This window comes from Homo sapiens, chromosome 17 (assembly GCF_000001405.40).
Source record: "Homo sapiens chromosome 17, GRCh38.p14 Primary Assembly".
Lineage (NCBI taxonomy): Eukaryota > Metazoa > Chordata > Mammalia > Primates > Hominidae > Homo > Homo sapiens.
The window spans coordinates 18,599,621-18,623,970 of NC_000017.11; the positions used below are offsets into that span (position 1 = coordinate 18,599,621).

Sequence of the window (24,350 nt, forward strand, 5' to 3'; positions counted from 1 at the left end):
TCAAGTCCGCTCCTCCCGCAACCCTATGTAAGATCAACAGCTGCTCTGTCAGAATACAGAGTGCCTGATGAGCATAGCTCTCTTATAGAAAGCAACACATTCCAACTTGGTCTTTTAACTTCAAATACTGAAGGTTCATAATCAATTGGAAACAATTTTAAGTCCATTAAATTTACCACCCTTATATTTTAATTTTCTTTATAAATCACCAATGAACTATGTAATTCCTTTGATCCATTTTATCATAAGTAAAACTATCATGATTATTAGTAAAAGAATAAATAGTGAGTAACGACAATATTGAGCTTTTCTCTCTAAATGGAAAACTATTAATACAAAGAATGTAGCTTATTACAAAGAGCCAAAAAATCCAAAAACGCATATAATTTCCAGGCAAAAGTGTTAGAATGAACCCATGTGAAACCTTTTTTTTTCTTTTCTTTTTTTTTTTTTTTTACCTAAGAATCAATCTAATGTTTAAAACAATACACCGAAGGGTAAACTTCAGTTGCTCATTTAATAAATATTTATTGAGTAGCTACTTATTGCAAGCTAGGCCCTTTTCTAGGCACACAAACATCCTACTCATGGGAGTGAAATAAACACAATAACCATAGATAGATTAGGCAAAATATACAGTGTTAAAGGAGAAAAACTAAAGCAGGAAAATGAAATGTTTACAGGTTTGAGAGGAGGGATAGTGGGAATTCTAGGATGGCCAGAAAAGTCCTTACTGAGAAAGGGGCTTTTAAGTAAAGAACTGAAGAAATGGAAAAAGAAAGCCAGGAGGCTATCTGAGGAAAAGGCATCCCAGACACAGGGAACTGCCCAGTACAGAGGTGTGCCTGGGGTGTTTAAGCAACTGTGATAGATAACGAAGAGCAAGAAGTTTAGTGTAGCTGAAGCACAGCAAAGGGAATAAGAAACAGAAGTTTAAGTGAGAGAGAGAACAGGGCATATTGTGTGTTGCCTTCTAGGTATGAGGAGGAACCCTGACACATACTCAGAGTGAAATGGGAGGCAATCAGATGGATCTGAGCAGAAGAATGACATCATCTGACTTATGTTTTAAGTATGGCCACTGAGTTAAGGATTAATGAAAAGAGGTTTCTTTAAAAAAAAAAACAGACCAATTAACAGTCTATTACATGCGTCTAGAGAGCAGATGGTGGTGGCTTGGAAATGGAAGATATGACTGGCTTCTGGATATATTCTTCAGGTACTCCTGACAAGATCTGCTGACAGATTAGATGTGAGGTGTCAGAGAGAGAGGGGAGTCAATGACGACACCTTAGTTTCTAGCAGAGCAACTGCAAGAGTTGCCATTAATGCAAGTAGGAAAGACCATGTGAGGGGTAGGTATGAGAAAGAATATCGGTACCCCAATCTTGGACCTGGTAAGTTTGTGATACCCAACAGTTCGTGACCAATCAAACAGAGATGTCAAGTAGGCAGGTTGGTATGGAAGTCTGGAATTAAGGAGAGAGATCTAGGCTGGAGACACGCATTTGGAAATCATTAGCACACACAAGGTAGTAAAAGTCATGAGAAAGAAGATTGAGGACTGAGTCCTGGGACATATCAGTCCTGGGACATATCAATGTGTAAAAGGTGGGATATGAGAAGAAAGCAAAACAGACTATGACAGATGGACTGGAAAGGCAGGAAGAAAAGCCAGGTGAGTGAGTGAGATCCTGAAAGCCAAGTGAAGACACTGTTATGGAGGAGAGAGTTTTCCATTGGGTCCAATATTGCTGACAGGTTAAATAAAATGAGGTCTAAGAAACAATGTCTAGATTTACAAATCAATGGTAAACTTGAGAACAACAATCTTGGAAGAGTGGTGGGAGTGAAAATTACTCGTATCAGCTCAAGAGAGAATGGACAAGAAATCTGAATCCATGAGTATAAACCATTCTTTCAAGGCCAGCATACGTAGGGGCATGACTGTAGACGATCTAATTTTCTTCTTGTTTAGCTGTATTTTTCAATTCTTATATAACTATATACTATATTTTTAACCTTTAAAAGTTTTTTTAAATCATATCTATATGGCATTTTTGAAATGCCAGATGAAGGTATTAAATAAAAATTCATTAACTTATAAAACCAAAAGACCTCTTGAACATTTCTAGATTATATAAGCTGATTATCATTTTGCTCATCCTTATGCATAAAGACCAAAGAAGACTAAAAGTTTCAGGAGAAGTATTTCTTGCTTGATAAAAATCAACTAACTCTAGAATATTTTATACTCATCAAATATACAAAGTAATAGTCAAAATATGGAATTCTATGACAAGAATAAAAGGGGACAAGGGCAGAAAATAATCTTATTTTGTAAATCAAATTTGTCTAAATTATATGAAGCTACTGTTGAAAAATATGGTGTGTTTCCTACTGAAATACATTATCTTTTAAAAGAAAGGATAATGGCATGCATGTAGGGTACCTTTAAAAAGAGGATTCACTGCATAACAGCACCTTGGTTTTAGCACAAGGATCAACAAATCGGTGCTTGTGGAGCAAATCCAGCCCACTGCCTGTTTTCATAAGGAAATTTCCTTGAAATGCATCCACACTTATGCCCTTTATAATTCACAAGGCCTAAAATATTTACTAACTGGCTCTTTACAAAAAGAGCTGTCCAATTCTTGGTTCAGTAGAGCTAAGATCCTCTGTTGTATTTTAGTAAGTTTTACCCAGTATATTGAAAAGCTGACACGGAACATGAATCCCCATGTGCCATCCCTTGGCAATATTCAGATTAATTTGAGGATCTGGTATTTCAGCACTCACACATGGACAGCAAAAAACAAAAATTTAATAACTAGAATTCTGTTGCTAACAAGGTACAGTGTCAATGTAGCATGTAGCTAGCTTCCTTTTGTAACTCAGCAGATATTACGAGAATTCCAACAAAACTGGCTTAAGATGTGTCATCAAACTAAAGGCTTTAAATAGACTTTAATTGTGAAATAATCAGTACACTCCTGGTCTAACAACTTCTTTTATTAAAATGAGTGCATGCTACATTATTTTCTGGGTATGACAATTGTACTATTTCCTTATTGCTAAGGATTTAGACTATCTCCAACTTCTTGATATTACAATGCTATAATAAATATCCTTATACATAAGTATATATGTAACATATATAAATATCCTTGACATAAATATATCATATATACTTAACATTATATATATTTAACCTATTAGCCTATTGTATGTTACATACTACATGTAATAAATGTCCTTAACACATATGTGTATGTGTTTACACAAGTCATATTTTCCTGTAGGATCTTGTCCCAAAAGTGAAGTTGTTAGGTTAAAGAAGTGACATATTTGAAATTTTGATACATGCTACTAAATTACCCTGCAAAAAGGATTCATCAATTTCATTTAACAAGTGTATGAAAATGCCTTTTTCTTCACATTTGCCAATACTTCCTATTTTTTAAATAAAATATCAATATGATTGGAAAACATGGTGTCTCATTGTTAGTTTGCATTTTTCTGATAACCAAGGAAGGCTGAATATCCTAGTAAAAGTATAAAATCTGTTCATCATGAATATTAGCCCAAATTAGGATTCATTTCATAGCACATAATTGTCTCCTGTTTTTTGTTTTCGTTTCTGTTTTTGCTTTTTTTTTTTTTTTTTTGAAATGGAGTTTTACTCTTGTTGCCCAGGCTCGAGTGCAATGGCATGATCACGGCTCACCACAACCCCCGCCTCCCAGGTTCAAACGATTCTCTTGCCTCAGCCTCCTGAGTAACTGGGATTACAGGCATGCACCACTACGCCTGGCTAATTTTGTATTTTTAGTAGAGATGGGATTTATCCATGTTGGTCAGGCTGGTCTTGAACTCCTGACCTCAGGTGATTCACCCGCCTTGGCCTCCCAAATTGCTGGATTACAGGCGTGAGCCACCACGCTTGACCAATTGTCTCCTGTTAAACGCTGCTATAGGCTTACCTGTCATGCTCTTCATTTTCCTTCCTAGGAATCTGCTGATTTAGTCCATCATCATCATTGCCAACAGTAGTACCATCAGTTAGGGTTCCTGATAATTCTGTGCTATTACTTCTGTGCTTCTCCATTTCTTCTTCAACCTTGAGTGAGAGTTTGATGTTCAGGATGATTCTTATTGCTTTATTCAATACAAAGAACTTTTTTCTGTTTGCATTGATTTCATCATCACTTGACTCAGTTTAATTATAATTTTAGTCATTAAAATATTTGGTGCTTACTTTAATTTTATCACATCTGGAACTATCATCATATAATTATAATTATTATAATTTTATCATCAACATTTTTGTAAAGTCAGCTTCATTTCTGTTTCAATGAATGAGACAGAATTTTCCAAAATTTCAACCAGGGCCCTTCTTAATTTTGTGCTTTTATTCCCAACCACCCTTCACTATGTATTATGAATTTTTACCTCATTTGACTGGCACAAACATGGAAATAAGAAGATAAAGACACAAAGCGTGTCTTCTTCTGTCTTTGCCACTTGACTTTCATATTAAACAGCCAGATTGAGAGGATACAACACTGTGGGGTTTCAGGAAAAGAAAGGAAGCTTTCCCTTTTCTGCACTAAGCTATTCTTTTCCCCCACTAACTTTTGTCTTTTTTTTTTTTTTTTTCATTTGAATCCTGAGATATCAAAAAGGTGAAGGTGCTTACTGAAATACAAGTCTGCCACAACACAAAAAGCAGAGTGAAACTGCTGAGCTAGGGTGGAATTCTGGAAATGAGATGCTTCCCAAATTTCACATTCAATAGCCATAAAAGTTTATAGCTGGAGGATATACAGTATAAGAATCTACTTTAGCTCACTCTCTATTGATAACTGGGCTAAAGCCAAAAAAGATTAAAATGATTGATCCAAAGCCCCTAAAGTGCCATTACCTAGCATTTTGTGGCACCAAAAGAGACAGTACAATTCCATAATGCTGAATCAGACAAATTCAGCAAATTAATCAGATAGGTTAAAAGTGTGACTTGGGTAAAATAATTTAATGCCTTAGCAGAGGGTGGGAGGCCTGCCCTAATCAATGTAGAAGACTCGGCTTTCTACTTTGGCATCATATACTAAGTGTTTGGCTGAGCATTTATGCTACTTACATGGAAAAAATATATATGCCAAAACTTACTGTACTTTATTAAGCAACATAACATAAAGGTCTGATTCAACAGAAACAGTGGAGAGTAGTTATATTAACAAATATATTAAAGTGTATATACTTGTTGTTGAAAAATATTTAAAGTGGTCATGATGCAATTCTAAGTTCCAACAGTTTGAGTTAAACAGATAAACCTGAAAAGCACAATAAACAGATTCATTGGCCAGGAATATTTGCTGCAGCTCTCAGGGCTGGATACTTCTTTTTTCTTTTCTTTTTTTTTTTTTTTTAGTAAGAGATGAGGTCTCACTATGTTGCCCAGGCTGGAATGCAGCAGCTATTCACAGGCACGATCCCACTACTGATCAGCACAGGAGTTACTTATGACCTGCTCCATTTCCGACCTGGGCTGGTTCACCCTTCCTTAGCAAATCTGGTGGTGCCCCGCTCCCAGGAGGTCACCATATTGATGCCGAACTTAGTGTGAACACCTGATCGGCATAGCACACTACGGCCCAGAATGCCTGGCCTCAAACGATCCTCCTGCCTTAGGCTCCCTAGTAGCTGAGACTACAGGTGTTTGCCACCACGCCTGCTAGATACATTTTTATATCTCTTCTTAGTCATTGCTTCCTTTCTACTGTATTCCCATCTTATTGTTAGACACAACTCATCTTTAAGTCGGTAAAAGGAAAAAGCCCTCAAGCTCATCACATTTCCTTTAGCGATTTTCTTGATGCCTCTCCTGGTTCTGAAGGTCACATGATATATGGCTACATGAGTTTCACAATCCATACGCCACTTGGAAGACTGACAGAGAGACTTAGGTCAATTAAGAAACAAAGATTATGAGAAAGTTTTCCTAAACTCCTATTACTTAGAAATCCTCTGTTTCTACACACAATTACAGATTTAGACAACCAAACTGTATGCTTTTCATATGCTTTTCCTAAGTGGAAAATCAGAATGGACCAGATAATTGAGAGAAAAAACAAAGAGTGGCAGCAAGTAAAACCCTACCTCTTTATGAAGTTGAACATTTTCTTTCTTCAAAGCCAGGAACTCTTCTTCTAATGTGTTGACCTCATTCTTAAACTTTTGCATGTCTTGCTGTAATTCTTCATGTAGATATACTTCTGATGTTCTGTCAGAATCTGGTGGTAAAGAACTCAGATTTTCTAATTTAGGTTTCAGGCTTTTATAGTTATTTGTACTGCCACTGTCACTATTTTGGTTCATATTTTTTGTCATTTGCAAATCAAACTCTTGGTCTTCTTTCATTTCAACCGTAACCACTTCTGGGTTCCTTGCTTTCTTAGTGCTTGCATCATTATGAAAGTTGTTATCTGTACTAAAAATATGTCCAATGCCTAGTTTGTTATCATTGTCGCAGTCTAATTTATTTTCATGTAAATGAAGCTTAGAAGATGACTGGCAAACATGTTCCTGGGACCCAGAGTACGGATGATAGTATGGATGGATGATATTTTTGAGACTGGGTTCTTTTTGTTCAGGAAATGTCTCGAATACCACTGAGACAGATATTTCAGATGCATCTTCTTCCTCACAACCAGGTATGTTATTTGTCAAATTAAAGGGAATATCCTTCACATCTGTTCCTCTTGTAGAGTTATCAAGTAGTGGCTCTTCCTCAGGACAAGCCGGAATTTTGTATTTTTCATAAATTTCACCAAACCTCTGCTTTAACTCATTTATGACGAGTTTTAATTGGTTTTTCCACTCTAATTTGCCTTGTTCAATCCACATTTCCTCAGATTTTTGCACATGAGGAAGTACTGGATATATAGGTATATCCTCTCTATCACAATCCTTAGCCATTTCTGGTTCTTGAGACGTTTTCTGCAGGTGCAAAAGTGGAAGATTAATTTGCTTGTTTTGTTTCTTGCGTGTCTTCTCTGTTGGGCTACATGTTTTAAAAATAGCTTTGTCCTTAAATAACAGGTATGAACAAAGAAAAATTCACAAATAATTAAAATGAAAATTTAACTGTTAAACTTCTTCATCTAGGTTTAGCTACTCCCAAATCACTGGCTTGTAACTAAGAAGTTAAAAACAATTGTCTTACCTGAAAGGAGGAGAAAAATATGAACCAGCAAACTTAACTTTGTCACTGTTTGTTTGGAATAAACTTAATTCATTATGTGTTAATTCTACCAAAAATGAATTAGCAGATGATTTCTAGTGTTACAAAGGCTTCCTCACTTGGAAAGTGAGCCCCTACAGTACATGTAAGTACTACATATTACTACATGTAAGTACTACATATTACTACATGTAAGTACTATATATTACTACATGTAAGTTCTATAGATTACTAACTGGAGGGTAGGCAATCTTCAAATTATTAGGAGCCCGAATCAACACCAATCAGAAAGAAAAGCAAATTCTTAAGTTTTAATTCAAATTATATACTGTAACATCATAGGGTTATATATCTAGACTATCTTCTTCAGTTCAGTTCTAATATATACTACGGTCCCCTAATAACACTAACTAAAACTTTAAAGATAATTCTTACTAAGTTTCTGCATCTAAAAAGTTAGAAATTTATTGTTTGTACCCTAACACCAAAGATCCCATTCTGCAAGGTACGATTCCCTTAATAGGCAGTTGGGTTGATTTCATAACCCCACTCTCACTGAATGTAGACCGTGAAGTCAATGAAAGGCCACATCTTTAACCTAGGCATTAGTAACTGGCAATATAAAACTGCAAAATTTGAGCCACTGGCCATGATTACTCTTAGACCATGAATCCAACTCAGTGGCCATCACTGTTAAATTGTTCATAATTTCTGTTGCTTAATAATATAAGTCAATAATTGACATTACCTTCTTTATCCTGTAAGGATATTGTAAGAATGGAAGAGCAAACAAAATTCTGGAATGTTTGCCTCTACTCCAAGGGTAAAGATTAACTATAAGTTATGATAGATTCTAACAATATTGTGTTTTATAACTAGTTTAAATGTATTTAAAATTAAATATTAAGTAAGGATCTATTGATTCTCAAAGGCTAGTCTGAGAGGTAATTTCATTTGGGCTAGCTTATATTATTAAAGCAAAGAAAAAAGTATTAAACCAGACATTTAGATTTTAGTTTAAATGTTTCCACACCTGTGGCTGCTTATTTTCGCATCCTTTAAGTCTTTCTTGCTCTTCCTCTGATGTCAGCTCCAAGTCTTGTTCTGCTGCAAAATCCAAACGTTCAGTTAAACTACTTAGAACAGTTAGATAAAAGACATAGTCTTTATAAAAATAGATTTTAAATTACATTTCATTTTATTTCATAAATTGAGAGTTTAAATGAAGCTTGATCTTTAGTGGAATACTTACTTCTTTAAGAAATACTTCTAATTCTCCAAAACTTCAACAAACCACTTTCTGGGAGACACTAGATGCCACCAGGTAAAAGAAATACAATCATGTTGAAGATTCACTCACAGATTCATCCACCCAACATCAATGAACAAAGCCATCACAAACAAAACAAAACTTTGGAATGCAGTAGCAATATTATCAGGCAATGCTGCATACTGTTCTCCACTTCATAATAGTACCTTATTAATGATTTCCAAAATGACTGTGGACACCTTTATTGGTGTACAACCTCTTCCTAACATCTGAAATGGTTCCCTGTATTATTCTGACAAATGTATTAATATTTTCATCTTTTAAAAGACTGCTAAAAATAAATAAATAAAATACATAAAATAAAAAACAGACTGCTAGGTGAAGTTGACCCTCATCCTCATCTTTCCCCAGGGTAAACAGGTATCTAGGTATCTCCTTCCTTAGGGCTGCCCTAGAACTTTAATGATTTTTCTACTGCATCTCCACCACCTGAACTGTCAATTATTGCTTTACATGTCTATTCCCTCTGCTCCTTGACTGTAGGGAACAATCTTGAAAATCATCTTTGTACAAAGAGTCATTATCTATTTTACTCAGCAATTATGTATTGAGTCTTGCTATGTGCTAGGCACTAGGATTTAAAGAGTGAAAAGCAAGCATGTCAGAGATGACTTTTCTAGAGATCCTGCCCGAGCTGAGGCTTAAAGAGTGAGGCTAGCCTAATTAGAAGGGGTAGGGGACAGGAAAGAGTGAGAGCATGACAGGCAGCAACAAAAGGCAGAAAGAGGCCTGAAAGAGTATATGAGTTTGCCTGCAATCGAAGGATGGGTCAGCAGGACAGGACCAGCAGTTCAGTAAGGCCAGAGAAAGGGCACACAGGGGAAAGGGCTAAAGATGGAGAGCTGAGCAGAATCACATTATGAAAGCCTTACGTATAACTTTAAGATGCTTGGACATTAATGTTCTCAAGAGTGGTCCCTGGTCTTATTTGCATTGGTGATAGAACACTGTCAATGCCAAAACCAACATCCCTAGCAAACACATTTATTAACGCAAGGTGGTAGCTCATGTGGACACAGCCAAGGAGATACTATGCAGCAAATTCTCAATAAGTCTCATTAATTACTGACTTGGAAAGTCAATTCTATAATACATAAAGTCATAGAAATGATAGGAAGTCACTTAATATTTGCTTTTGGAAGGTGTTTTTTCGTTTTTGTTTTTGTTTTTTGAGACGGAGTCTTCCTCTATTGCCCAGGTTGGAGTGCAGTGGCACAATCTGGGCTCACTGCAACCTCCACCTTCTGGGTTCCAGCGATTCTCCTGCTTCAGCCTCCTGAGTAGCTGGGACTACAGGCGTTCACCACCATGCCCGGCTAGTTTTTTTTTGTATTTTTAGTAGAGATGGGGTTTCACCATATTGGCCAGGCTGGTCTCGAACTACTGACCTCGTGATCCACCCACCTTGGCCTCCTAAAGTGCTGAGATTACAGGTGTGGGAAGGTGTCTTTTAAATTATAGTGCATATAGTTATAACTAACAGCTGTGAATTCAGAGCTGTAAAAATAAAGCAAAGAAACCACATTGTGTTTGAGTCAGCAATCTTTAGGTCTCTACTAAGTTATCCTAAATATAATCCTATGTTAGTCCCTAAACATACTTAGTCCCTATATTCTAAATATAATCCTACTTCCTAAAGAAAATCATGCTTTCCCCTAATTCTCTGTTATCTAGATGTTGCTTTGGTTAAAGGAAGAACACAAATATCCTGCCAAAAGGTATTCTGTTCAGTGCAAAAGGTGAGTAAACACAAAGCACATTTTACCAGAAAAAGTTTTAAGTCAAAACTATAGCTCTATGCAGCCAAGCAGAGGCACTCTAGGACTGAATTCTCTATGCTTCTTTGTTACCTTCTTTGCTCTCTTTGTTTTCTGGTAGCTGTGATTGGCACAGGTCATGGAGAGTATCATTCCCTGAGAGAAGTACAACTCCAGTGTCCATTTTTTCTCGTTCTGTTAAGTTCATCTGTCCCAGTTCTTTGGTTGCTGACTGATTTTCAGGCATTGATGGTGATACAGATGGACTTTTATCACCAACTTTCAGATTCTTGGATCTCTGACAAGTCTCATCACTAAGGGTCAAATTAGTAGGATGCCAATCTGAAAAATCCGAAAATGAAGTTTTCATTTTTAGGATGTAAATAACACAATAATTTGACTAACTTGTATACATGCTTTCTTCACAGAAACAGTCCCACATCCTGCTCTCTCCCACAACACACTATGCATTCAGGCTTATTATATTTTACATGTCCTATGCTTACAATTCATTCAGGTAAGTTTAATTAACTATCATCTCTCACTTTTCTACATTTTTACTGTTTACTATTACTTACTTTTATTCACTCAGCAGTCTCTATTACATATTTTGCTTTCCATTAAGATTCTTTGTGGATATAAATTTTTTAAAACATAATTTATGTCTAACCATTTTAAGCTTAAATATACATGACAGCATTGTATGTATGTATTGTAGAGACACAGGATTTACAAAAACTCATAATAAATATACTTTTAAAACTATTTTAATTATAATGAGATGGTCTTTTCTCAATTCACCACTATCTTCAGAATTTCCTTTCAAATACTTGGATAAACTTCATACATTTATTTGCAAAATAAGAGCTGTAAGGGCTCTAACTGTTCCCATGTGAGAACAGGATTAGTCTAGGACCACACTAGATCCAAATAGCACACAGTGCCACGAGACAGGAAAGGAATACATAACAAAAATATTTTCCTTTTTACTATATAAACAAAATTGTTGGGATTTAAATTTTTTTTTTTTTTTTTTGAGACGGAGTCTCGCTCTGTCACCCAGGCTGGAGTGCAATGGCGCAATCTCGGCTCACTGCAAGCTCCGCCTCCCGGGTTCACGCCATTCTCCTGCCTCAGCCTCCTGAGTAGCTGGGGCTACAGGCGCCTGCCACTACGCCCGGCTATTTTTTTTTTTATTTTTAGTAGAGACGGGGTTTCACCGCGTTAGCCAGGATGGTCTCGATCTCCTGACCTCATGATCCGCCTGCCTTGGCCTCCCAAAGTGCTGGGATTACAGGCGTGAGCCACCGTGCCCGGCCTGAGATTTAAATTTTTTAAGACAAGTGAAAGAAAAAAGCCAAAAACACATAAGTGAAACTTTAAAGTCCATTTCTTCATAAAGGGTGCATTTATCCACAACCACATATGTGGTTTAAAATGTTGACTCTCAATTATGATCTGAGAATCCCTGGAGTTCAAGATCCAGATGAGGGGCCAAGACGTCAAATAATACAAAATGTTATTTGCCATTTTCACTCTCATTCTGTTTCACGTGTACAGTGGAGCTTTTCATAGACATGGTGTGTCATAACATCATAGCTCTAATGGTGAATGGGTCATAGTTCTAAAGGCTTTGGAATGTATGGCTGAGCGTGCTTGTTTTTTTTTGTTCGTTTGTTTGTTTTTTCAGATGGAGTCTCACTCTGTCACCCAGCCTGGAGTGCAGTGGCGCGATCTCGGCTCACTGCAAGCTCCGCCTGCCAGGTTCACACCATTCTCTGCCTCAGCCTCCCGAGTAGCTGGGACTACCGGCGCCCTCCACCACGCCCGGCTAATTTTTTGTATTTTTAGTAGAGACGGGGTTTCACCGTGTTAGCCAGGATGGTCTCGATCTCCTGACCTCGTGATCCGCCCGCCTCGGCCTCCCAAAGTGCTGGCATTACAGGCGTTAGCCACCACGCCTGGCCGCATGCTTGTTTTTAAAATATTTTAGTTTTTATTTCTAAAATAGTAAATATCAAAAGACACAACCGACTTAAATAAAAGCTCTTTGGAATTTGCAATAATTTTTCTTTATTTTAATTATTTATTTATCATTATGAAGAGAGTTTGAGATCCAGTCATTTGATAGAAAACCAGAGCTTCCTGTGTCAATAAGGACTGACCTCAAAAATGTAATGTGACCAGACAAAAGAAAGTTGCAAAATATGTAGAGTGTAAAACAATTTATATACAATTTTAGGACATGAAAACAAATTCTACATATTATTTATGACCATACACATATGTAATAAAATGTTTTAAAAGGGAATGGACATAATAAATTCTTAATTCAGGGTGTTGGTTACCTCTAGGCAATAATATTTAATCATATAAAACGAACCCCAGGCCAAAAAGTTTCAGAATCAATGTTTTAAAAGACTGTGTCCACCATGTAGTTATTAAGGGTAATTAATTGCTTTCTTCGTTTTTGATAATCAAAACACACACACATGATTTGCTGACCAGAATATCTGACTGGCTTAAAATCATCAGTATAGCCACACTATGATGAAATAATTAAACTTAAAGCACAACTAACATATTGGCAAGTAAAGTTTGTCTTATCTGATAAGTTTTGGTGCTGCACGTTCACCTTATATTCTTTCCACCTTTCTAATACCCCACTCTTCTTTTGAAGTATTATCTCATTTTACCACCCTCCATCATATCCACTTGCTTCTTTTCCCTTCATTTACTCTCTGTACTCTCTGCCTTCCACATTCTTTATTCCCCCTTTTACTCTTATCCTCTTCCTTCTATCCTGACATTGCATATCTAGGGTTCAGTAGTATCCACTGTTCCAGGCATTCACTGGGGGTCTTGGAACATAACCCCCATGGATAAGGGGGGAAAACTGTACATTTTATTGTGTAGGTCTATGGGTGCTGTGCTGTGTTCTGTGGCAAAACATAGGGAAGAGACCAGGGATAAGGATCTTTGCAAAGACTTTTCAGCTGCCAGTGGAGAAGAGCTCAAGGGAGATCAATGTACTCACTCTCACTAATCCTCTTCTGGGGCAGATGCTGGCAATGTTTACTGAGTTCTAGCTATTTTCCCTAGCACAAACAAGGCTCAAATTCACCTCCCATTTTACCTCCTATGGACAGAACCACTGGAAAGATCACTCCCTTAAAGAGCTTATTCACTCTGAGCCACACCATTCATTCAGTGAGAAGCTTAAGAAGAAACACTGCCACAGTGGTGGCAGGTTGCCAGGGAGTACTACCTGGTATGAAAAATATATATAAACAGAACTATCAGCTCACTCAAGCTGCCAGAATGTGCCAACAGTTGTTACTCTCTCTGGTGAAAACAACATTATTTTTCATTTATTGTAAAGAAAAACACTGGCATTTCCTATGACAGAGCATTTAGTTGTAGATGAGCCATATTCTAATAATATAGACTGTTTTCAAGCTCATCCCTAAAAGGAAGAGAACCAGAGAGGAACATATTTATTCACCTGTAGTGTTCACTGCCTGATCTTCTTTTTAAGTGCAAGGTAAGTATGCAAGACTTTGTGATTCCAGTTTTATAAAGTCCAGCTCTTGAGATTATCCCGTCCCATCGCTAGACTCTATCTGGACCCATCTCCTAGAGCACGATGGTCCAGTTAGTGCTGTGGAATACTGCATGATGCCATTTTTCCCCACCCTCCCCGTTACGTGGCAAACATCTACAGAAATCACGCTTTCTCAGCACGTCAAATCATACGCCATCAGATCCTGTTCTGATGAACACAACATGAGGAAAACAAACACAAGGACAAAGAACATCTAAAATGACAGAATCAAATTACCATGGAACTTTATTGTTTAAATATTCAAAAAGATATCCACCACTGTTTTATTCCAACTATATGACTAGTCTGGAAAAAGCAAAACTACTGAGACACCAAAAAGACCAATGGTTGCCAGAAACCAGTGGAGAGGAAGAGACGAAACAGTGGAGGACAGAGGATATTTAGGGCAGTGAAACTATTTTGTCTGTGATACTACAAGGGTATATACATGCCATCACACATTTGTCCAACACCATAGAATGTACAAAACCAAGAGTGAACCCTAACGTAGACTGTGGACCTTGGGGGTGATGTGTCTGTCAAGGTAGATTCCTCAACTGTAACTCTGATGAACTCTGATGGGGGGTACTGATAATGAGGGAGGCTATTCATATGTCAGGGGTCATGGGGAATATGGAAAATCTCTGTACCTTCTCAATTTTGCTGTGAATCTAGAACTGCTCAGAAAATAATATTATTAATTCTAAAGCACATACTCACTGAACTTGCTATTACCCTAAATTATAAAAAGACAGAGTCACCTTGAAAATTGCAAATCACTAAAGATCAAGGTAACAGAATACGAGTACTATCTCCGAAATTGAAGCATATAAAAACACATAAAGCAATTAATTTTAATTGTATACTTAGGCAAAAAAAAATTCACAAAAATGATTGAATATCTGATCTTATTTCATAATTGTAAACAGGGATTTAGTACAATATGAATCAAAACTGGTCCATCCATGAAAATAAAATGAAAGACAATTTTTATTCTAATTTTAAATCAGAACTTATTATGCCTACTTTATCCCACAATTTTACTGAAAGGTTAATCAGATAAGAAGGACAGATTATAATTACTTAATATTGCCATAGTAACTTATGTACCAATACCTGTTAAGTATTCACCAAATGTCAAAACTGTAAGCAGCCTTGCTATTTAATATGAATGATGCAGCTGAAACCAGTACCATGTTATGGTCTATCATATTATTTGCTATTGTATTATATAAAATGTTAAGATAACACCAAAAATTTACTCAGGGGCATAGCTGCTGGGCAGCAAAGATTTCATATAGCAGGCATGAGACACCCATCCTTAGAAAGGCTTGCTTGCAAGGCTAGTCCTTGGCTGGTGTTTGGGACCTTGAATTTGGGAGGGTTCCCAGCATTCCCTAACTTAGAAGAAGGGAGTGGCTCACTGTGCCTAAAGTGTTTGTGCAAATGTGGTTTACTATGAACAATTAATTTCCTCCTGGGAGTCTAGAGTTTTGTTACATGTGAGGGAGAGGAGAGGTGGCCTATGTGACTAGCCTCCATCGAAAACATGGGTGCTGAGCCTCTAATGAAACTCTGGTAAGGTAGACAACATTGCACATGTGTCGTCAAAATTTGAGGCTGGGGGAATTAAGCATATCCTGCTAGCTACACAGGAGATGACTCCTGTAGCTTGTGCCTGGCTTCCTCCAGACTTTGACACATGCACCTTTTCCTTTCTCAAATGTTGCTTTGTGTCTTTTTGCTGTATTAAATGTAATAAATCAAAGCCCCAAGTATGACTATCTGCTGAGTCCTGTGAGTCCTTCTCAGTGAATTACCAAACCTCAGTGAAGGGGGTCTTGGGAACCCCTGATACAATTGCATTAAACAATTTTTTATTGTTTAAGTTGATGTGTTACATGTGACTACAATCAGAAGGTAATTTCACAGAATACCTTTCCCTAATCTGCTTATTTTTTATTTTTTGACATTTGCCTTGGAGATTCCTGTACTTCTATATCCACTGGACTAAAGGCATTAAAAATGCATGAAACAATGATGTCAGAAAGTAATTTTTAAAAGCAACAATCCTATTTTAACTCAATTAAAAATAGAAAATCTTAATGACTGACAATATATTCTACAGTATAAAAGTTTCTGGAACAAAAAATTATAAGATCACAGTCAATTTTCTCCCACTAGGTAGGATTTAATTCATTTTTATAATAATTGTGCAGCAGGCCAGGTGCAGTAGCACACATCTGTTGTTCCACCTACTCAGGAGGCTGAGGCAGAACGATTGCTTGAGGCTAGGAACTAAAGCTGCAGTGTGCTATAATCACACCCGTTCAAAAAAAAAGTCCAGGCCGGGCGCGGCGGCTCACGCCTGTAATCCCAGCACTCTGGGAGGCCGAGGCGGGTGGATCACGAGGTCAGGAGATCGAGACCATCCTGGCTAACACGGTGAAACCCCGTCCCTACTAAAAATACAAAAATTTAGCCGGGCGCGGTGGCGGGCGCCTGTAGTCCCAGCTACTCAGGAGGCTGAGGCAGGAGAATGGCGTGAACCCGGGAGGCGGAGCTTGCAGTGAGCCGAGATAGCGCCACTGCAGTCCCGCCTGGGTGGAAGAGCCAGACTCCGTCTCAACAACAACAACAAAAAAAGTCCAAAAAAGCCCTGCAAATAGTGGAACTGATCAGTAAGGATCAACAGGACTTTTAACTTATCTGGCCGGGAGAAGAGACATCTTATGTATAGATGGTTAAAAGTGTGGTAATCCAATTGACCACATATTCTAGTTAAATCACAGATTACCAATTTCTGAAGAAATGTAATACCACAAAAGCACTTCACATTTAAACTATGTCAGATAAAACAATTTGTATTTGACAACCCAGAAGACACTTAAAATCTTGGCAGACCATCATTGTGTCATTGTGGTGCAGATATAAAGAAGTGCATTTGAAATGTGTTCTAATAGTATTTTCTTTAGGAATGGAATTCAAAAGGAAGCAGTAAGAGCAGAAATATCACAAGAGGGTAAATGAAAAGGGAACTGCACTAACAAAAGGAGTCAGGCACTGACTTTTCTCCTGATGTGACCAAAACCCCAAGTACTGAGAACTGCTATATTCAGCATTTCACTTTATATTTTTCTCCAGGACATTATATTAGTTTCCTGCAATAAAATATTTTTAAAATGTCAGTTTGTCTAAACTGCTGGCCTGTAAACTATTTCTAATCAAAACCTGAAATTGTGTCACAACATGGCTGTATTATGATTCCATGTCAGAGGAACGATATATACGTGCATCTGGTGGTGGCTTCCAGTTGTTGCTGTCAGATGTTTGTTTGGGAATGCATTCAGAAGAGCCTATCAAGGACTTGAGTACCAAACAAGCATTTCCACAAAAAAGCAGGTAAGAAAGACTACACTTTTCCTCACATATGACCTTAGGTTTAGACAATTCTAGGAAAATGGTGGTACATTAACTCACCAGTCTTGACCATTTTCCCTGATCCTGTACAGGGAGCTGCTGCAGTTACAAAAGTTAGGTAGGATCTTGGTAGGTGTATTCTTCCCCATTTGAACATCAGAAGTACTGATCACATAAACAGCGAACCCCACAACTCTATGATTGTTCTTTAGAAGACAGTGCCACTGAAGGCTTTTAAAAGGTTAACTCACTTTACTTTTTAGTAATCTTACTGGTTAGAATTGATACTCCCTCCTTGAAATTCTCACCTTTGTTAATTTTTGCAACATCACTTTATGATTCCTCTCCTCTTTTTCTTTAGCCACGGCTCAGGCTTCTTTCCTAATTCCTCTGGGAAATGCTGATATTCCCAGGGTTCTGTCACTGGCCCTCTGCTCATTCTATACCTTTCCCATCATGGACAAGCTCACTCAGATCTACAACTTTGCCTCAGTTATTCCAAGTCTGCAACTCCAACCTCAGAGTTCCATCTCCAGCCATAAAAATTTTTCCAATTACCTACTGAAAATATCCCACATGGACATTTCAGTAAACTCAGCAATGCAGAGAAAACTGTTAGTCGTGACTGCTGACCTGCTGCTCTCCTCTATACACCTGAAAACTGCCTACTCCCTCGTGTCCAGGTTAAATGCTAGGGCACAAGCCAGAAACCTGAGAATCATCTGAGATTTCTCCCTATCCCCTATCTTTTTACATTCAACAATCACTAAATCATATTAACTGTACCTCTTTTCTGCATCTGCTTTATATTTCCACTGTGACACATTTATTTTATGTTTATATTTCCTAGTTAAACATGGGCTCTTAAGAATTGGCTTTTATAGGGAAAAAACAACTATTAATGTTATTTCTTAAATGAAAAAAAAAGTTTAAGTAAAATAAATGAAAAAGGCATCATGCCAAGAAAAAGACCGACATTTTTAAATGAGTAACTGAGCTCCTTAACCTTACTGATTTCACCATGGATGGGTGAAAACCTCACAACAGACCGACACTAGTCTGAGGACAGCACAAGGAAACTATAGCTCTGATAAATGCAAATGTTTCTTTTGTTTCCCTGTCTCTTTATGTGGTTATCTTCCAGCTGCTCTCCATATGAGGGGTCAGCAAACTACAGGCCATGGAGCAAATCCAGTCTGCCTTATAGTTTTGTAAATAAAGTTTTACCGGAGCTCAGTCATGTATATTTGCTTGCCTTTTTATGACTGTTTTCATACTTCAATGGTAGGGTTGAGTAGGAATGACAGACCACATGAAAAAGCCCTGTACAGAAAATGCTTGCCAATCCCTGCTTTATACCATAACCAGATTGCCCTAATACTCAAATCTAATCATGTGACTCCCCACTCCAATGAGTCCCTACAGTAAACATTGCTGTCTCCCTACCCAATAGCGATTCCCTGTTTCTCAATAGAGAAACACGCATCTATTTGGATATTTATCATGCCAATAGCCCTCCCCACTCCAAAAGAAGAAATGATTATTCTAAGCTCATCATAGTAATTACATTTGCTTCCCCAGTGCCTGCTTTAGGAATGAGCATGTGGTAGGACCCAGCCAATAAAATGTTACAGGAAGTCAACTGCACCCTTCTGAGTCTTCTCCCTAACTAAAAGAAACATGTAAAGATATTGTCGGTGAGACCACGATGTTTGGAGCTGTTGCTAATTAGTCAGCCATGAAAACAGACATGAACAAAACACCATGTTATCACTGAACCATCAAAACAACTCTGGTCCCTACTGTTTTAGCCACTGTTAGTTAGGTCATCTAGTATTTACAGCCCAAAGCATTCCACCTGGTAAATTTCCCATGGCCTACAGGAAAAGTTCTACTCATTTCTTTCTTTTTTCTTTTTTTCTTTTTTTTTTTTTTTTGAGACAGAGTCTTGCTCTGTCACCCAGGCTGGAGTGCAGTGGTGCGATCTTGGCTCACTGCAGCCTCTGCCTCCAAGGTTCAAGTGATTCTCCTGCCTCAGCCTCCTGAGTAGCTGGGACCATAGGCATGCTCCACCACGTCTGGCTAATTTTTCATGTGTATTCTTAGTAGAGACAGGTTTCACCATGTTGGCCAGGATGGTCTCAATCTCCTGACCTTGTGATCTGCCCTCCTTGGCCTCCCAAAATGCTGGGATTATAGGCATAAGCCACCATGCCCGGCCCGAGATCTACTCATTTCTATAGTATTAAAAAGTCTGGGCAGGGAGTGGTGGCTCACGTCTGTAATCCCAGCACTTGAGAGGCCGAGGTGGGTGGATCACTTGAGGTCAGGAGTTTGAGACCAGCCCGTCAAACATGCCGAAACCCTGTCTCTACTGAAAATACAAAAATCAGCTGGGCATGGTGGCTCGCGCCTGTAATCCCAGCTACCTGGGAGGCTGAGGCACGAGAATCACTTGAACTCGGGAGGCGGAGGTTGCAGTGAGCCAAGCGAACGCCACTGCACTCCAGCCTGGGTGACAGAGTGAGACTTTGTCTCAAAAAAAAGTCTGTCATGAGCTTGCCTTAGGTATTCACTTCATTCCCAACCATTCACATCTCATATGTTTTGCACTGGCAAAACTGAACTGCTCATAAACCCTGCAAAGTTCACTCAAGCATCTTACTTTTGCACTCGCTGCTCCTTCTGCCACACACACAATCTTCTGCCCACATCATCCTTCTGCCTCTTTACCTAGAAAAGTTCTACTCACTCTTCATGCTTACCTTAAATCTTACCCACTTTTTTACAGCTTTCATTCCTCACCACATAAAGTGTCTGGCACATATTTAACATAATAAATGATCACTATACGGTTCCAGAGGGCATCTAACACAGTAGTAGGCACTGAATAAATAATTCATCAAATAATTAAAGTGACAATGATAATAACAAGCTCCTGGGTTTTGTTGGTTTGTTTTTTTTCTTTTTTGAGACAGGGTCTCACTCTGTTACCCAGACACGAGCGCAGTGGCATGATCATAGCTCACTGTAGCCTCAAACAGCCAGGCTCAAGCAATCCTCCCACCTCAGCCTCCCAAGTAGCTGGAAGTACAGGCACCTGGCACCATGCCCAGCTAATGTTTTATTGTTTTTTAAAAAATTTAGTAGAGATGAGGTCTTGTCATGTTGCCTGGGCTGGTCTCGAACTTCTGGGCTCAAGTGATCCTCCCATCTCAGCCTCCCAAAGTGATGAGATTACAGGCATGCACCACTGTGCTGGCCCCAACAGTATTTTTAAATGTCTGTATTCTGTAACATTAGAAAAAAAAAGCTTAGTACTAAAAGACATTTGATAATTATTTGTTAAGTGGACAAATGAATAAATGATTTCCTTGAAAATTCTGTTGAAAAAAACACAGAAATTAAATAGAGAAAGCTCTGTTCTATCATGAGCACCTCAAAGACCAAAACTATGTCTATTTCATGTTTGTCTCCCATAACGTGCAAAACCTAACTTAGAGAAGTTCTTTGATTAATATGTACTAAATTAAAGGTGTCCTCTTACAGTTCAGATTGTCCAATGCATTAGGCATCACATCTTGGAAGCACAGAAGCATTTTTTGTTATTGTGAAACATTTTTATACTTTCATTATAATTTGTTGAGCCTAGAGTTGGGCTATTTGAATATTTATTATGATAATCTTTTGGCTAATGGTAACAGCATATCTTGTTCTAACAAAATTACTGTTAACATAGCAATTAACCAGCAGGTAGAAAAACACATCTTGTTCTAATGAAGTAAATATACCTCATTCGATTTCAAATTGGGGGAAAGTCAATAATAGTGACACCTTGTTGGTTTATAAGTATGTAACATGACCTGTTCTTCTCAACAAGGAATTGCTTTTCTGACTTCTGCACTCAGAAGGTCTCTTTAAAAAATAATTTCCCATTAGTATTAGTGCACATTGGGTATGTTTGGCAGGGTTTTGTTTGTGTTTTTGTTTTTGTTTTTTTCTGAGACAGGGTCTCACTCTGTCATCCAGGTTGTGATCATGATCACAGCTCACTACAGCCTTGACTCCCAGGCTCAAGCGATCCTCCCATCTCAGTCTCCCAAGTAGCTGGGATTACAGGTGTGCACCAAAACACCCAGCTAATTTTGTATTTGTTTTTGTAGAGATGTGGTCTCACTCTGTCACCCAGGCTGGTCTGGAACTTCTGGACACAAGCGATCCTCCCACCTAGGCCTCCCAACTTGCTGGGACTGCAGGTGTGGGCAGCACACCTGGCCATTTCACAGTTCTTATTGCCATTTGTTTATGGTGCCAGAAAGGTATTGCTGAGTTTCCAGTTTTGAAACTAATTTCTTTTTTTTAGTGACACAAATCACTATGTAATATAGTTAGCCTTTGAACAACACGGATTTGAACTGCAGGGGTCTACTTATGAGCAGATTTTCTCCCACCTCTACCACCTGAGACAGCGAAGACCAATCTTCCTCTTCCTCCTTCTCCTTAGCCTGCTCAACTTGAAGACTATGATGAAGAGTTATAGAATGATCCACTTGCATTTAATGAACAGTAAGCGTATTTTTTCTGCCTTATGATTTTCTTAACAGTTTATTTCCCTAGCTTCCTTTATTGTAAGAATACAGCATATTAATACATATACCATACCAAACATATCTTAATTGACTGTTTATGTTATCAATAAGGCTGCTGGTCAACAGTTAGCTATTAGTAGTTACGTTCTTGGGGGAGTCAAAAGTTATACACAGATGTTTGACTGCAGAGGGAATCAAGCATCCCTAAATTCCACATTGTTAAGGGTCAATTGTGATTGATATTCATTTACTAAACATAAGTCATTTATTTTAAAAATTAAATAGAAGTTCCAATTTCATAACAAGTCTAATTCATTATAATGTGACTATAAAGAAAACATACAACTTACTAACTCAAAAATATCTTTTTCTTGGCCGGGCGCGGTGGCTCACGCCTGTAATCCCAGCATTTTGGGAGGCCAAGGCGGATGGATCACGAGGTCAGGAGATCGAGACCATCCTGGCTAACATGGTGAAACCCCGTCTCTACTAAAAATACAAAAAATTAGCCGGGCTGGGTGGCGGGCGCCTGTAGTCCCAGCTACTCTGGAGGCTGAGGCAAGAGAATGGCATGAACCCCAGGGGGTGGAGCCTGCAGTGAGCCGAGATCGCACCACTGCACTCCAGCCTGGGCGACAGCGAGACTCCATCTCAAAAAAAAAAAAAAAAACTTTTTCTTATTTATACAAAAATATCACATAGGATTTTAGGGACCATAATTAATTTTTTTTCAGACCAGATTGTTTGAAAAAATAAATGACCTACAATTAACTTTTTAAATAATTGTGACATCTAACCTACCAAGAAATCTAACCTATCAAGAAAGAAATAAAGATTTTTTAAAACTGCTCTTTCATGATCAAAACTTCTTTACTCTTACTTCTTTTTTACCTATGGTAGGACCACCAAAAATAATTCACTATCAGAAGTCTTACCTGGATTGTTATTTTGAGGAAGACTTTCAGGTGTCTGTTTTTCCTTATATTCAGGAACTAGTTGCTGAATGCTATGGATAAAAATGTAATAAATGAAATTACTATTTTAAAACAAATGAAAAATACCAAATATATTAAATTTTTGGAGTATTTCAAACAATATCAGAGTTAATATCAGAGCTTTTAATTATCCCATATACTTCGATTTGTGAGTTCTACCAACTTCTCTTTAAGCTTCTGAAGAAGAAAAAAAGATGAAGTACTCATGAATTGAAGGGAGTATAGCTCAGTAAATTAACTCACATTAGCTTGGCATAATGGAAAGCATCCTAGCTCTATTACCAGCAGCTATTTATTCTCTGACAAGTTGCTTCTCTTAGGCTCAATGTATTCTTCTAAAAAGCAAGGATTTTCCTGCCTTATTTCACTAGGTTGTTAAAAAGATTTAACAAGAAAACGTTTTGTAAATGCTCAGAGAAACAGTGAAGCAATGAAATAATTTGTTCTTGAGCTTTATTGAGGAAATGGTTTTGGAATCACAAATAAAACCCAATGTGTATTTTTTCCAGAGGTTCTAATATTCAAATGTTGCAGTTTTCCAAAACTGTTATTAAGTTCTAGTTTTATTAGTTCTATTCTTTGTGGCTTATAATTTGGGGCATCACAGCTAGTTCATAGTTTGTAACTAAATTTACTTATAAATATATTATTTCATCAAACTAGATAGCAACACTGTCCACTATTACTGAGCTCATCAATCACGCCAAGGGGAGAAAGCTAATAGATGTCAAGACCTAGCTTGGACTACTGTTCCATACAGACTCAAACTCTGAATCGGCAGATCTTTGTTAGAAGGATGCTCAATCCCCATGTTCATCTCCAACTGACATGGAAAACAAAATTCTACTTTTTTTTTTCAGTTCCATGAAAGACATGCAAGTTGACATTCTCTCATTTCTGAGATACATACTGACAATATATTTGCACACAACATCCCACGTGTTACTCAGCTCCATTGATCACCTTACTGCATATTTTTGTAGTGAAAAATCACAATTTTAATATTAGGTGATACCCAGTTTGCTTTGACTCACACTGTCTTTGGAAGTAGTCAGCAAATAGTCAAATGAACTTCTAGTGACTGCGCAAAATATGGACTTCAAAAATCTGTGCATCATCCTTATGCAGGCAGGGGCCATGCTGCCATTTTGTTTCAATTTTAGTATATGTTTGCTGCTGAAGCAAGTTTTGTTTGTTTGTTTGTTTTAGACTGAGTCTCGCTCTGTCACCCAGGCTTGAGTGCAGTGGCGCGATCTCGGCTCACTGCAAGCTCCGCCTCCCGGGTTCATGCCATTCTCCTGCCTTAGCCTCCTGAGTAGCTGGGACTACAGGCGCCCACCACCACGCCCGGCTATTTTTTTTGTATTTTTTAGTAGTGACGGGGTTTCACCGTGTTAGCCAGGATGCTCTCA

The 24,350-nt window shown here is 38.0% G+C and overlaps 1 long non-coding RNA gene and 1 pseudogene across 2 annotated transcripts in view; one reads left to right on the forward strand and one right to left on the reverse strand.

Moving 5' to 3' along the window:
- CCDC144BP (coiled-coil domain containing 144B, pseudogene) overlaps positions 1–24,350 on the reverse strand; it is an 87,818-nt pseudogene that overhangs the window by 61,821 nt on the left and 1,647 nt on the right. Inside the window, exons 2-6 of the transcript NR_036647.1 lie at positions 22,879–22,949; positions 10,424–10,672; positions 8,277–8,350; positions 6,160–6,999; positions 3,984–4,120 (exon numbers count right to left, since the gene is read on the reverse strand). The product of NR_036647.1 is annotated as a coiled-coil domain containing 144B, pseudogene (transcript). The remainder of the gene's footprint in view (positions 1–3,983; positions 4,121–6,159; positions 7,000–8,276; positions 8,351–10,423; positions 10,673–22,878; positions 22,950–24,350) is intronic.
- On the forward strand, positions 10,013–16,280 carry LOC107985051 (uncharacterized). The gene is made up of 3 exons (XR_001752812.2): positions 10,013–10,312; positions 10,759–10,847; positions 12,021–16,280. It is a non-coding gene; the product is annotated as an uncharacterized LOC107985051 (long non-coding RNA).